The sequence below is a fragment of the Homo sapiens genome, chromosome 6 (assembly GCF_000001405.40).
Source record: "Homo sapiens chromosome 6, GRCh38.p14 Primary Assembly".
Classification (NCBI taxonomy): Eukaryota; Metazoa; Chordata; class Mammalia; order Primates; family Hominidae; genus Homo; species Homo sapiens.
In genome coordinates this window covers 31,705,038-31,718,266 of record NC_000006.12, presented here as the reverse complement: position 1 = coordinate 31,718,266, position 13,229 = coordinate 31,705,038, and the positions used below count along the sequence as shown (strand labels likewise).

At 51.0% G+C, this 13,229-nt stretch overlaps 3 protein-coding genes and 1 pseudogene across 5 annotated transcripts, besides 1 other annotated feature; 1 reads left to right on the top strand and 3 right to left on the bottom strand.

The window, feature by feature from the left end:
- Positions 1-347: 347 nt before the first annotated feature.
- On the bottom strand, positions 348-2,919 carry LY6G6D (lymphocyte antigen 6 family member G6D). The gene is made up of 3 exons (NM_021246.4): positions 2,857-2,919; positions 2,643-2,765; positions 348-686 (listed from the first exon to the last, which is right to left on the bottom strand). Exons 1-3 carry the CDS (start codon positions 2,909-2,911, stop codon positions 463-465), a joined length of 402 nt encoding a protein of 133 aa, NP_067069.2. The 5' UTR covers positions 2,912-2,919; the 3' UTR covers positions 348-462.
- On the bottom strand, positions 348-11,401 carry LY6G6F-LY6G6D (LY6G6F-LY6G6D readthrough). Its single transcript, NM_001353334.2, has 6 exons — positions 11,309-11,401; positions 10,480-10,809; positions 10,133-10,396; positions 8,086-8,241; positions 2,643-2,765; positions 348-686 (listed from the first exon to the last, which is right to left on the bottom strand). The coding sequence occupies exons 1-6, from the start codon at positions 11,358-11,360 to the stop codon at positions 463-465; spliced, it is 1,149 nt and encodes a 382-aa protein (NP_001340263.1). The 5' UTR covers positions 11,361-11,401; the 3' UTR covers positions 348-462.
- Positions 4,186-4,969: an enhancer, noted in NCBI's record as "H3K27ac-H3K4me1 hESC enhancer chr6:31681075-31681858 (GRCh37/hg19 assembly coordinates)". NCBI's record gives its function as "activates a minimal SCP1, AML or CMV promoter by ChIP-STARR-seq in primed H9 embryonic stem cells {active_cell/tissue: H9 hESC(primed)}" and the evidence as "EXISTENCE:reporter gene assay evidence [ECO:0000049][PMID:30033119]".
- LY6G6E (lymphocyte antigen 6 family member G6E (pseudogene)) lies at positions 4,202-6,291 on the top strand (annotated as a pseudogene). Of its 2 annotated transcripts, none has more exons than NR_024541.1 (3): positions 4,202-4,506; positions 5,478-5,603; positions 6,152-6,291. The product of NR_024541.1 is annotated as a lymphocyte antigen 6 family member G6E (pseudogene), transcript variant 1 (transcript). The 2 variants fall into 2 exon arrangements; NR_003673.3 differs by lacking the exon at positions 6,152-6,291 and adding an exon at positions 5,706-5,926.
- Positions 7,588-11,401, bottom strand: LY6G6F (lymphocyte antigen 6 family member G6F). The gene is made up of 6 exons (NM_001003693.3): positions 11,309-11,401; positions 10,480-10,809; positions 10,133-10,396; positions 8,086-8,241; positions 7,849-7,915; positions 7,588-7,700 (listed from the first exon to the last, which is right to left on the bottom strand). Exons 1-6 carry the CDS (start codon positions 11,358-11,360, stop codon positions 7,676-7,678), a joined length of 894 nt encoding a protein of 297 aa, NP_001003693.1. The 5' UTR covers positions 11,361-11,401; the 3' UTR covers positions 7,588-7,675.
- Positions 11,402-13,229: the final 1,828 nt, after the last annotated feature.

Genomic DNA, 13,229 nt, shown 5'->3' with positions numbered 1-13,229 from the left:
TTTACCTATCACAGTTTTTACATTTCTTTTCTCAATTCAAAATAGTCCTATTGGGAGCCAACTTGCAAATGGGAAATAGGGGAGCAAACCCAGACTCAGGCTCACAAAACCCTGGCAACCCCACTCAATGAATCTCATTGCTAAGGAAGATTCAACCCAGCAACAGGATCCAGGAGCCACAGAAGGCAGATAAGCCATTGCCCTTTGGGGTTTAGTTGGTTAAGGAGTGCACCACTGTAATTAAGCCCGCTGTTGCTTGGTAACCCCCAAACTAGAACCTGGATGCCCCATATTACGCTTTTAGCCCTCCCATCAACCAAAGATAGATGTAATTTTCCAGTCAGCTGTAGAGTGGTTCATAGATTTTAATGACTCACAGAAGGATGTTTCTCTTCTCACATTAGATGTTCAGATGTCCCTTGTTCCCTTGCTCCCTTGTTCCCTTCTCTACTCCTACTCCCCCTATCCGCTCCACAGTCCTGGCAAGAGACAGGTCAGGGCGGTAGCTGCTGCAGCCAAAATGCCTGCAGGGGCCACATGGCTTGCCACGGCGCTGTTGCACAGGTCTCCCAGGTAGCAGTCCCTGTGGGCTGGATAAGTCACGTCTCCCACCGACTCTGTCTCCACTTGATTGCAATGATGGGCTGCGACGCAGGCTGGATGTTGGTGAATCAAGGTCACTGGGGCTGAGAGAGAGAATGAAACTGGGGTGTTGGACTCCTGGCTTCAGGACTTGCCTTCTGGGGCAGAGCAGATGTGATTTCAAGGAGCCCAAAGGGATTTTCAGCCCCCTCAAAAAACACCTCCCTGAAACCAAGTGATCAAAGTTAATGCATTGACCTTGTAAACTCCTGATGTGATGCAGCAAGAAGGATGCAACATCACTTCTGCAGTATTCTTGCTTAAAATGCATGACCTCAATCTCATCATGGCAAATATCAGATAAATAAATATCGAGGGACATTCTATAAAATAATTTTTAGTATTTCAAGTATCTGTAATTTTTTTTTTTTTTTTGAGACGGAGTTTCACTCTTATTGCCCAGCTGGAGTGCAATGGTGTGATCTCGGCTCACCGCGACCTCCACCTCTTGGGTTCAAGCAATTCTCCTGCCTCAGGTTCCCGAGTAGCTGGTATTACAGGCGGGCACCACTACACCCGGCTAATTTTGTATTTTTAGTAGAGACGAGATTTCTCCACATTGATCAGGCTGGTCTTGAACTCCCGACCTCAGGTTATCCACCCGCCTTGGCCTCCCAAAGTGCTGGGATTACAGGCGTGAGCCACTGCATCCGGCACGTAATTTTTGTTTAATCTAAAAATGATTTTATTTAATTTTAGAGAAAAGATCTTGCTCTCTCACTCAGGCTGGAGTGTGGTGGTGCAATCATACCTCCCTATAGCCTCAAACTCCTGGGCTCAAGTAATCCTCCTGCCTCAGCCTCTCAGGAAACTGAGATTACAGGTGTGTGCCACTATGCCTGGCTAATTTTTTAAAAACATTTTTTGTAGAGATGGGGGTCTCACTTTGCTGCCCAGGCTGGTGTCAAACTCCTGACCTCAGGTGACTCTTCAGCCTTGGCCTCCCAAAGTGCTGGGATTACAAGTGTGTGCCACCAAGCCTAGCCTAAAAATTATTATTATTATTATTTTTGAGACAGGGTCTCATTTTGTTCCCCAGGCTGGAGTGTAGTGGCGTGATCATGGCTCATTGTAGCTTCAATCTCCCAGGCTCAAGCGATCCTCCCTCTTCAGCCCCCTGAGTAGCTAGGACTACAAGCATGTGCCACCACACCCAACTAATTTTTTAATCTGTTTGTTTGTTTGTTTGTTTGTTTTTTGTAGAGACAGGGTCTCCCTATGTTGCCCAGGCTGGTCTCAACTCTTGGGCTCAAGTGGTCCTCCCACCTTGGCCTCCTAAAGTGCTGGGATTACAGGTGCGAGTGACTGCACTGGCCCTAAAAGTAATTTTTTAAACTCCAGGTATAAAATAATTTATCAGGGCTCTTCAAATGTGTCAGGGTCATGAAAGACAAAGAAAAACAGAACTGGCACAGATCAGAGGAGACTAAGAAGACATGAGAGCTAAATGCAATGTAGGATCTTGCTAAATCAAATAAAGTCTGTAGATTAGTTAGTAGTATTGTATCAGTTATTTTGTGATTTTGATAATTGTGCTATGGTTATGTAAGATGTTAGCATTAGGAGAAGTTGAGTATTTCTGCAACTTTTCTGTCAATCCAAAATTATGTTAAAATAAAATATTAAAAACATGTACACACACACACACACACACACACACACACACACACACACCCCTCCCTGGTCCTTAACTAATGCCGAAAATTTGAAGTTTGGTTTTAACTTTGGCCTTTCAGGGCCAGAGCTCTTCATTTGTGAGCTAATGGGCCTATGAGATTCTTTTAGGAGAATAAGGAGGTGGGGAAGTGGGGGCACAAGGACTGTGGGCCTCTCAGGGGCTCCGTGCCAGGAGCCAGAAGGGGTACAGACTGCTCTCCTCTAACAGCTGCACCATCTGCCCAGAGCCAGACTGAGCCTGGAGGGTTCTGGAAGCCAGAAGGATTGACATGGGGCTGGAGGCAGGGAAAGGCTGCTGGAAGAGGGAGAAACTGAGGACTCACGGTTTCCAGGTAGCTTGATCTGTTCCAGGCCTGGCTGGGGTCTGCCCTCGCCACAGGTGGTCACGGCCTCTTTGCAAGAACTGCTGGGGCTTCCACCACAGTTGTAGCACCGCATTCGGTTTCCTGGCAGGAGAAAAGAGGCGCTGGACCTGGGCCCTCGGTGGAGCCGGCTGGCAGAAGGCCTGTGTGAGAAGCTAGCTGGCCGCCTCCTTACCCAAGGCAGCCCCTAGCAGGGAGCTGAGCAAGATCCCAACAAACTGGGGTTTCATCGCAGTCTGCCCGTGTCAGGACCGCCTCTACCTCCTGCCCACCCCCCTCCCCAGCCCGGCTCTGCCTGCCTTATATCCCCCGTGCCTTGAGCTTTATAGGGCTATAAAAAAGGAAGAAAGAGTCTCCCCCAGCAGGCACCAAGGGCCCCAGTGGGGACAGGGAGGGGCCCCACAGCATGCTCTCAGCATCCTCTGGAGTCCTCAAACTCCTTTATCCTCAGCAGCAGTCTGTGGACCAACAAGAACCCCTGAGGATCCCTGATACCCTTTCACAGGGTCCTTGAGGGTCCTCCTTTTGCAACTATCTGTGTAAGGTCAGATTTTCTTCATATACTGGACTTCAACGAAAACAACATATCCCAACAGACTGAATGCAGAAGCAGATAGGAAAACCCAGGCATCTCCCACGAAGCCTGACACTAGATTCACAAAAATGTAAAGCAATGCTCAGCTTCTCACTGTGCTGTGGAGAAATAATAGTTATTTTTCACAAAACTGTATTTTGTTAGCATGTAATACTTTATTATTTTTATTGTTTAAATAAATCAATAAATACCTACTTTAAATTTTCTGTTTTAATTTTTAATGTAGTAAATATTGATATAACCTCATAAAGAAAAGCTCTTCAGAGTCTTAAGTAACTTTGAAAAGTGTAAAGAGGTCCTGAGATCAATATTTTTGAAAAGAGCTGCTCTCCTGGGCACCTGTGTCTCCCCTATCTTCACTCCCTGTTCCTAGTCTTACTCCTCCTGGTACATGCTGGCTCTGATTCCCCAGATGGGCCTTCCTCCTTCCCAGTCTCTTCAACCCCAGCCTTCCAGGCTGTATCACCACCCCCCTACCCCAAATCCCATCCATGCCTTCCTTTCTAGTGATTTCTCCCCAGTGCAAGCACATCAGCAGGCCCTCCAGCCCCACCCGTGGTTATTTCTTTCCTCCAAGGTAGTAAAGCTGGCAGGGATAATTACAGGGTAGGAATGTTGAAGCTTGGGGGGATCAAAGGGATCTGAAGCTGGGTGGGGTCCGCCCTTACACAGCTGGGCTTTGTGTGTGCATGTGGGTGTGTGGGTGGGGGTATTGTTGATTCTACACTCAAACAGATCCACGCCGGGGCTGTTTAGGAGGGTGACTTTGAGAGACATGAAAGCACTGAGGGGGAAAGACAGAGAAAACAAAGACAGAGAGAAGCTGAGAGAGCCAGGGAGCAGCTTGAGACATGGGGAGGGAGGGGGAGGAGTAGGAGGGAAGGCGACAGACACAACTCAGGAGCAGGAGAGGAAGCTAAGTTACAGAGACAACATGCTGAGAGAGCAGAGGAGACCCTCCAGGCAAGGGCAGACTCCTTGCAGGGGCAGGCTGGGGGCCCCCGCTGCCTGCTGGGTCAGGCTGGTGAATCTGGTCATGGTTCCGCCCCCCAGATTCACTCCCTAGGTGTGTTTGTTTACTGGTTCCTCACTGTCTTGCTCAAATGCTCCAACTCTACAAATCCCGGGATCTCGGGGTGCAGATCACCTCTCCCAGATTCCTGAGCCTGTGTCTGGCCATGGGCACCTCCAGCATCTTCCTCTGCGTGCTGTTCCTCTGTGGGGCACTGGGTAAGGGTGGGCTGGGGAACCTTCAGTGGTCAGGGGGCTGGGGGTGGGGACAAGGGCATGTGGAGGAACCTGAGGGCTGGGGAGGAGAGGGGTGTGGGTGCTGGAAGAGGCCAAGAAGAGAGCTGGGGGAGTGGGGGACTTCAGGGAGACCAGCCACTGGGAAGGCCAGCCTGATGAGGTGGGAAAGGAAGAGTTTCCTTTCAAGGCATTTGAGAATAACTGTCTCCCCCTTGCTGCATCTTTGATCCGCCCCTGTCTCCCCTATCCCTTATTTCACGTGTTGCTTCTGTGCTGGGCCCTTTGGTCAATGTCAATTTCTATTTTCCTATCTGTCTCTGGTGCCATTTACTTAACTTTTTCACTGACCCCCTCAACTTCCCTGCTGCTGGGTCTGGCTTTTTGTCTCACTCTTTTTATGTTGGTCTCTGATTCTTGTGGCTTCTGTTCATGTCTGCGCATCTCTCAATCCCTGTACCCCTCTTGCCTCCATCTCTGTTTCTTTTCCTGCATCGTCTCCCTCTTTTTTTTTGAGACAGAGTCTCGTTCTGTCACCCAGGCTGGAGTGCAGTGGCATGATCTCGGCTCACTGCAACCTCAGCCACCCAGATTCAAGAGATTCTCCTGCCTCAGCCTCCCAAGTAGCTGGGACTAGAGGCATGTGCCACCATGCCCGGCTAATTTTTTGTATTTTTAGTAGAGACGGGGTTTCACTGTGTTAGCCAGGATGGTCTCAATCTTCTGACCTCATGATCAGCCCGCCTCGGCCTCCCAACGTGCTGGGATTACAGGCGTGAGCCACTGCGCCCAGCTATTTTTTCTACTTCTGTCAGCTTTCCTCCCTTATTCCACAGCTTTCCTCTCTCTGCTTCATGTGTCACCTCTCTCTGTGATCCCTCTCCGGATCTGGCCTCTGCCTGCCCCACAGGGAGGGTTTGCCTCTCCTGCTCTCCTAATCTCTGCTGCCTCAACAGGTCTCACCATGTCCCCTGCCCGGGGAAGGCTCCGCTGCTACATCTGTGGCTTCACCAAACCCTGCCACCCTGTTCCCACCGAGTGTCGGGACGATGAAGCTTGTGGCATCAGTATTGGCACTTCAGGTAGGACTCTGGTCCAATGGCCCTTCTCCAGGAGGCTCCCTACCTCCATCCATCCGGCCTTTCCTGTGGCCCCCGCCTCAGCATGCCTCTTTCATCCCACAGACCAGAGTGAGATCACTGAGTGAAAAAGCTGCCTCTCAAGGGCCCAGTGCCCTCTGCCAGGCTATGCCACCTACTGGCTGCACTCCTACACTCTGTGGCACCACTGCTGCGAGCAGGACCTGTGCAACATAGCCGCTTCCCCACAGCAGCTCACCAGCCTCCTCGCCTCCCTGCCCCTCTTTGTGGCCAGCTTCGCTGGGAGAGGACACCTCCTCCACTAGCTTCCGTGGATCTGCAGCCCCCAACCCAGGATACCCCCCGCCATCACTGCGGCCCTGGAAACACCTGCACAGACACTTTGAGACATGCCCGAGAACCTAATTTTGTACAGAGACCCCAGATCTCTCAGCAGACCCCTCACAGACCCCTCACAAGGCCTGGGGAGGCACCTGCCCAGAGTCCAACCTCATAAAGAACACCTATTCTGCGTCTTTTGTCTTTTCTAGATGCCCATTGCTGATGCCCCGTGTCAGCCCAGGTCACTGGCAAGGCAGGCATTTTGATGACACTGTGGATCTCAGGCAAGGGGATCAAAGGAGCATCAGGTATGGTAAGGAGGAGAGTCTTGCTAGGAAAGACTAATGTGGTAGGTCGGGAACTCAGGATGGAGGGCTTGGGGGACTATGAAGAGTACCTTTAATAAAAGGTCTATCTAGGAGTCCAGTAATACTGCAGATACTGCAGTGTGTGTGTGTGTGTGTGTGTGTGTGTGTGTGTGTGTCTGTGTGTGTGTGCTCTAAGAGCAAACTGTAGCTGCTTGGTGGGTTGGGCTGGAGCTGGAACCTGGACCACGGCACTCCCCTCATTCTCCATCTGTGTCATTTTCGTCCTTTTTCTTGCCAATGGCTTAGTTTAAGCCCCTGCAGCCTGAAGCCTTTAGGTGAGACTTCTGAGAAAGCTTTTTTCCAGTAAGGCCCAAGCTTGAGCAGAGACACAAAAGGGCACCCAGTGGAGCTGCTTGTGAGGGTGTGGCTGGAGCTCAGCTCATTTCTGCCTGAGACTAGGGAATGGCCAAGTTGGGAGCATCAATATCCTCCCTCGCTTCACCAGCCCAGACTCGCCCATGGTTCACAGACATCCCAGCATGGCCCCGGCCCAATAAATAACATACCCCCACTGGGCCTGCCAGCCTGAGTAGACACTCCCTCTGCCCCCGAGAAATAGGGTGTGACCTCAGGGCAGCAGGAAGGAAGTGCCAGAGTGGCGATAGCTGCTCACATGCTCTGAATGCCCCGGTAAGGCGCCACAGGGAAGAGTGTGTGCCTAGGATAAGGAAGGATAAGGAGGGGGCCCCGGGTGGGAGCTGAGCACAGGCATCTCTATCCTGACTCAGTTCCCTCCCCTTGCATGTGAGGAAGTCTGGGGTTGATTAAATATGCCTGTTCCCTCTCTTCTTTGTGAGGATGAGACATGGGGTAGTGGGGGTCTGGCTTAATTTAGAGATGGGTTGAGGCTTTCCATTTTCTCTGTCCCTCCATCCTCCCACTTTGTGCTTCTATTTTTCTCCCTCTGTCCATCTCTTTCCACTTTCTCTGACTTGAGTCTCTTCCCTTCTCTCTCTTCCCCCGTTTTCCCCATTTGTCCTTCAGCTCCACTGCAATGGATTCCTCACCATTGCTCAAGTCTCCAGATTCCTGTCTCCTCCCTGTGCACACCCATCCTCCTTGCCCCCACCAGCAACCTCAGGCTCCCCTCAACCCCACAGTACTATGGGCTCAGGGCCATCCCTCCACTGCTGCTACAAGACAGGAGACCAAACCTTTTTGTAGGTTACATCACAGAATAATGCTCCTCCTTTCCTTCAGTCCCCCACCCCTCCCCATACACAGCTTGGTGGCTGCTGGAGGCCAGCTGGATGGTGAAGTCGAACTCTCAGTCCCGCCCCCCTTGCTAAGGTTGTCGAGGAATCTTCCAGGTGCCAGATGGCCAGCGAGACAGCAGGTCACACTTCCCAGCAGATGTCACCAAAATCACCTGGGCTTGTGGGCAGGTGGGCTGTGGGGTTTTCCAGAGAGACAGATTAAGGATACCTCTACTTTTCACATCCTCAGGAACGAGGGCCCATCCCCAACCCAACCCGTGTTTCCTCTCCATCCCCAGTCCCCTCCAGGATTTAAGCCTCTGTTCCCTAGCTGTTCCTCACCCAAGACGGGCCAAATGGATGTTCTCATAGACCTGGATTTCGGGTTTGAACTGAGGAATCGAGGCATCTGGGGAGAAGGAGCCATCAGGGATACAGAAGAGAAGTCAGCAGACAACTTAGAGCCGTGTTCCTCGCCCCCTCCCCTAGAGGAGGTGGGGTACAGAGGCGGGGTGTGAGCCTAGCCCTTTGCCTCCCACCCATGTGCCCTCTTCTTTCCCCGGGGAGGGAGGGACTCACCTCTGCCTGGAGCCCCACGGACCCTCTGCCTCCAGAGCACGATGCTGAGGGCCAGGATGACAACTCCCTGGCCCATTGTGAGCAGCAGCATCAGAATCCAAGGCATGTCCCAGCCCGTGGAAGGGGCACAGAGGGCAGGAGAAGCATCGATGGAGGCTGTAGTAAGGGCCAGACCAGAGGGATGGGAGGGAGGTAGTGAGGGGCCCTGTCCCTGTGCCCCAAAGAGAGGCTTCCCCTCCACAGTCTGGTGGGCTCTTCCAACAGAAGACTTTGTAAGCTTCCCTGCCCACAATATCCTCCACCCTACTCTGCCCCTTTCCAGGCCTCTCACCCTGACCCATAGAGAATGGCGGCCAGGCACAGTGGCTCATGCCTGTAATTCCAGCACATTAGGAGGCCAAGGCGAGCAGACCACTTGAGGTCAGGAGTTCAAGACCAGCCTGGTCAACATGATGAAACCTCATCTCTACTGAAAGTATAAAAATTGAGGCCAGGCGCAGTGGTTCACACCTGTAATCCCAGCACTTTGGGAGGCCGAGGTGGGTGGATCACCTGAGGTCAGGAGGTCGAGACCAGCCTGACCAACATGGTGAAACCCCATCTCTACTAAAAACACAAAAAAGAGGCCGGGCGCTGTGGCTCACACCTGTAATCCCAGCACTTTGGGAGACCAAGGCGGGCAGATCACGAGGTCAGGAGATTGAGACTATCCTGGCCAACATGGTGAAACCCCGGCTCCACTAAAAATACAAAAATTAGCTGGACGTGGTGGCATATGCCTGTAATCCTAGCTACTCGAGAGGCTGAGGCAGGAGAATCACTTGAACCAGGGAGTCAGAGGTTGCAGTGAGCCGGGATTGCGCCACTGCACTCCAGCCTGGCGACAGAGAGAGACTCTGTCTCAAAAAAAAAACAAAAAAAAACACACACACACACACAAAAGTTAGCCAGGCGTGGTGGCAGGCACCTGTAGTCCAGCTACTCAGGAGGCTGAGATGGGAGAATAGCTTGAACCCAAGAGGCAGAGGTTGCAGTGAGCCAAGATCGTGCCACTGCATTCCAGCCTGGCCAACAGAACAAGTCTCCATCCCAAAAAAAAAAAAAAAAAAAAAAAAAAGGCCAGGCGTGGTGGCTCACACCTATAATCCTAACACTTTGGGAGACTGAGGCAGGCAGATCATGAGGTCAAGAGATCAAGGCCATCCTGGCCAACATGGTGAAACCCCGTCTCTACTAAAAATACAATTTTTTTTTTGAGATAGAGCTTCGCTCTTGTTGCCCAGGCTGGAGTGCAATGGCGTGATCTTGGCTCACTGCGCCCTCCACCTCCCAGGTTCAAGTGATTCTCCTGCCTCAGCCTCCCGAGTAGCTGGGGTTAGAGGCATGTGCCACCATACCCGGCTAATTTTGTATTTTTAGTAGAGACAGAATTTCTCCATGTTAGTCAGGCTGGTCTTGAACTCCCAACCTCAAGTGATCCGCCTGCTTCGGCCTCCCAAAGTGCTGGGATTACAGGATTGAGCTACCATGCCTGGCCTAATAATAATAAAATAAAATAAAATAAAATAAAAAGTAGAGAATGGCAATGCCCCCTGCTCACGCATGGGCAACCAACTACAGAGCAGACCACCAGCCATAACCACACTTTCCCCTCACACCCTTTATAGTAATTCACCCTTTCTTTCAAGAAAAAATAGCCAGATGTGATGGCTCATGCCTGTAACCCCAGCACTTTGGGAGACCAAGATAGGAGGATCATTTGAGGCCAGTAGTTTGAGACCAGACTGGGCAACATAGCAAGATCCTGTCTCTACAAAAAATTTAAAGGTGCGGTGGCTCATGCCTATAATCCCAGCACTTTGGGAGACTGAGGCAGGCAGATCACTAGAAGTCAGGAGGTTGATACCAGCCTGGCCAAAATGGTGAAATCTCGTCTCTACTAAAAGTACAAAAAATTATCCAGGCATGGTGGCGGGCGCCTGTAATTCCAGCTACTTGGGAGGCTGAAGTGAAAGAACATCCCTTTCCGTCTCCTTCCTCAGTTTACCTGCCAGGCTAAAGCTGACCCCTTTGTTGTGAGTCATGAGGCAGCGGATGATTCTTGGTCTTCGGCTCCTGGGCTCAGAAAGCCCCTCCCCAGGACACACCAAGAGCAGGGCAGCCTCACTGCCCCAGAAGGACTGAACACGGCCCCTCACGGGACCCTTCCCTTCCTGCCAGGTCACAGAGTCCATGCGTCTGCTGGGGACCACAGAGCACAGGAGGACATTGCAGGGGGATCCATCTGCAGCCCTTGCAGATAACTGGGATCCTGTAGGGGAGAGAGGGATTCCTCAGTTCTTCACCTGGACTTCCTGGGCCACAGTAGCCCCTGGTCTGCATGCCCCCACTCACCTTTGAGCACCAAGACGTCGTACACCCTCCAGTTCTGGTAGTTGTGGTGCTGACCTAGCACAGCGCACCAGTACCGCCCGGCATCTTCCTCTTTGGATCCCTCCAACCACAAAGAATAGTTCCCCAGCAGTCTGAGCCTGGATTCCCTTCCTGGTTTTCCAGGGTCTGGGGCTGGCCTGCCCACTTGGACTTGGGCTACCAGGGTGGTGAAGGAGCCTGCTGCAGGGCTGCAGAACCATGACAGGTGTTCGTCCCCATGTAGAGTAGGTGGTGAGGGACATGGCAGCTCTACTGCCTCCCCCAAGGCCACATAGATGGCCTGCATGTTGTCTGTGGGAAGAGGGTTGTATGAGGCCAGAGACCTCCATCAGATCAATAACCCCCCATTTGATCTTCAACCCTGGCTTCCTTCCCTTCTGGGGTCCCCCAGCACAGGCCTGGCTGGTGACCACATTTCTCAAGTGACAGCTACAAAAATAAGACAGGTGGAGAGAAGAGGGTAAGGGCTTTCCTCCTCTCTCCCCCAGCCAGTGAGGGGGTCTGAGGGCAAGAGGGAAAAGGCTGAAAGTTGGCAAATGCCCACATCTCTTCTACTCATTTCTACTTTTCTGGAAGCATTTACTCATTCTTCTTATTTTATAAAGGAAACTGCATAACCTGGACCCTCGTTGCCTCTGGGTCTTCCCTAGTGTCAGAGGCAGGAGGAGGTTGGTTGGGGTAATTCTATCTTCTTGAGTCAGATGCCTTCGCCAGGCTCCTAGGAGAAAGAGCAGTAGTCCCTCCCCAACCTTGCAAATAGCTAAGGAATCCCGTACCTCTTGCCCCTTACCTGCAGCCTGGGGAGTTCCACATAGGAACAGGAGGAGGAATAAGACTGCCATGGGGAGAGCCTGCCAAGTTCTCTTGCTCCAAGACCTGGTGTCCCCAGGGAGGAAGCAGAGTCCAGATAAAGGCCCACACTCGCTGGTCTGGAGTGACAAGGGGCTCTGGAGGGGATGGGAATGCTGGGGCGATAAAGCCCAGCAGCATGTCTACTAGGGATAAAGTGACCACCACTTTTCTATCCTGGAGAGAAAAGGACCCAGCCCAGGCCACTCTGAAGATGACCTTTTTGCTCTTCTGATTCCACATCAGCTAAGGGGCTCAAATAAAGACTTTCCATGCAAAAAACCATGCAGAGAAGTGGTCCTGCCTGTCTAGCTCTTGTCAGTCTGGAAGTACATTCTGAGGTCTCTTTCACTCCTAAGAAAGGTCAGCCATGAGTTGGGTGGATCACTTGAGGTCAGGAGTTCGAGACCAGCGTGGCCAACATGGCGAAACCCTGTCTCTACAAAAAATACAAAAATTAGCCAGGCGTGGTGACATGTGCCTGTAATCCCAGCTACTTAGGAAGCTGAGAGGCACCAGAATCGCTTGAACCCGGGAGGTGGAGGTTGCAGTGAGCCGAGATCGTGCTACTGCACTCCAGCCTGGGAGACAGAGCGAGACTTCATCTCAAAAAAAAAAAAAAAAAAAAAAAAAAAGAAAAAGAAAAGAAAAGAAAAGAAATGTCAGCTATGAGTGAAGAAACTGAGTTTGAGTTTTTATGTTGGTCCTCCACAGAACCCAGCACAAGACTGTGTATCGAGTCAGTGTCCCGTAAATGATTTGGAATGACTTTCCCTGTGGTTGTCTGGCATACCCCGGACCTCTCCTGAAACCCTAATAAGTGTATTAAATTATTACTCAGGGACAAGGCTAACGGGCTGATTCATCCTTCTGAACGGCAAAAACTCCTAAGGCAGATCTTCATGCAGTTATTACAGTTTTAATGTGTAATTTATTTATTTTTAAAATTATTTTGATGAAATATTCCATACATACCAAAAACTATATGAAGTACAACTATATAATGGATAAATGCTTAACAGAGTAGAAGACTGGACAGCAATGAGAATGAACAAACCTAGTGATTTGCAACAAAGTTGAATCTCACAATATAATGAGAGTAAAAGAAGCCTGGCCAGGCATGGTGGCTCATGTCTACAATCCTAACACTTTTGGAGGCCAAGGTGGGAGGGTTGATTGAAGCCAGAAGTTTGAGGTTGGGCAACAGAGCAAGACCCCAACTCTGAAAATAAAGGCCAGACGCCGTGGCTCACGCCTGTAATCCCAGCACTTTGGGAGGCTGAGGCAGGCGGATCACGAGGTCAAGAGATCGAGACTATCCTGGCCAACATGGTGAAACCCTGTCTCTACTAAAAATACAAAAATTAGCTGAGTGTGGTGGTGGATGCCTGTAGTCCCAGCTACTCAGGAGGCTGAGGCAGGAGAATCGCTTGAACTCAGGAGGCAGAGGCTGCGGTGAGCAGAGATCATGCCACTATACTCCAGCCTGGTGACAGAGCGAGACTCCGTCTCAAAAAAATAAATAAATAATAAATAAATAAATAAATAAATAAATAGAATATTCCAGGCCGGACTCGGTTGCTCATGCCTGTAATCCCACCACTTTGGGAGGATGAGACAGGCGGATCACCTGAGGTCAGGAGTTCAAGACCAGCCTGACCAACATGGAGAAACCCCATCTCTACTAAAAATAAAAAAATTAGCAGGGCATGGTGGTACATGCCTGTAATCTCAGCTACTTGGGAGGCTGAGGCAGGAGAATCGCTTGAACCCCAGAGGCAGAGGTTGTGGTGAGCCGAGATCGGGCCATTGCACTCCAGCCTGGGCAATAAGAGCGAAACTCGGTCTCGAAAAAAAAAAAA

What these genes read in the sequence shown, in the direction of transcription:
- LY6G6F-LY6G6D (NM_001353334.2), bottom strand. Translation starts at nt 11,360, where the DNA reads ATGGCAGTCTTATTCCTCCTCCTGTTCCTATGTGGAACTCCCCAGGCT. An exon ending in TGGAACTCCCCAGGCTGCAG is followed by an intron (nt 10,810 to 11,308) that starts GTAAGGGGCAAG and finishes CTCTTCCCACAG; the next exon opens with ACAACATGCAGGCCATCTAT. An exon ending in GGTCAGCTTTAGCCTGGCAG is followed by an intron (nt 8,242 to 10,132) that starts GTAAACTGAGGA and finishes CCCTTACTACAG; the next exon opens with CCTCCATCGATGCTTCTCCT.
- LY6G6D (NM_021246.4), bottom strand. Translation starts at nt 2,911, where the DNA reads ATGAAACCCCAGTTTGTTGGGATCTTGCTCAGCTCCCTGCTAGGGGCT. An exon ending in CCTGCTAGGGGCTGCCTTGG is followed by an intron (nt 2,766 to 2,856) that starts GTAAGGAGGCGG and finishes TTCTCCTGCCAG; the next exon opens with GAAACCGAATGCGGTGCTAC. An exon ending in GATCAAGCTACCTGGAAACC is followed by an intron (nt 687 to 2,642) that starts GTGAGTCCTCAG and finishes TCTCTCTCTCAG; the next exon opens with CCCCAGTGACCTTGATTCAC.
- LY6G6F (NM_001003693.3), bottom strand. Translation starts at nt 11,360, where the DNA reads ATGGCAGTCTTATTCCTCCTCCTGTTCCTATGTGGAACTCCCCAGGCT. An exon ending in CGACGTCTTGGTGCTCAAAG is followed by an intron (nt 10,397 to 10,479) that starts GTGAGTGGGGGC and finishes TCTCCCCTACAG; the next exon opens with GATCCCAGTTATCTGCAAGG. An exon ending in CCGTGGGGCTCCAGGCAGAG is followed by an intron (nt 7,916 to 8,085) that starts GTGAGTCCCTCC and finishes CCTTCTCCCCAG; the next exon opens with ATGCCTCGATTCCTCAGTTC.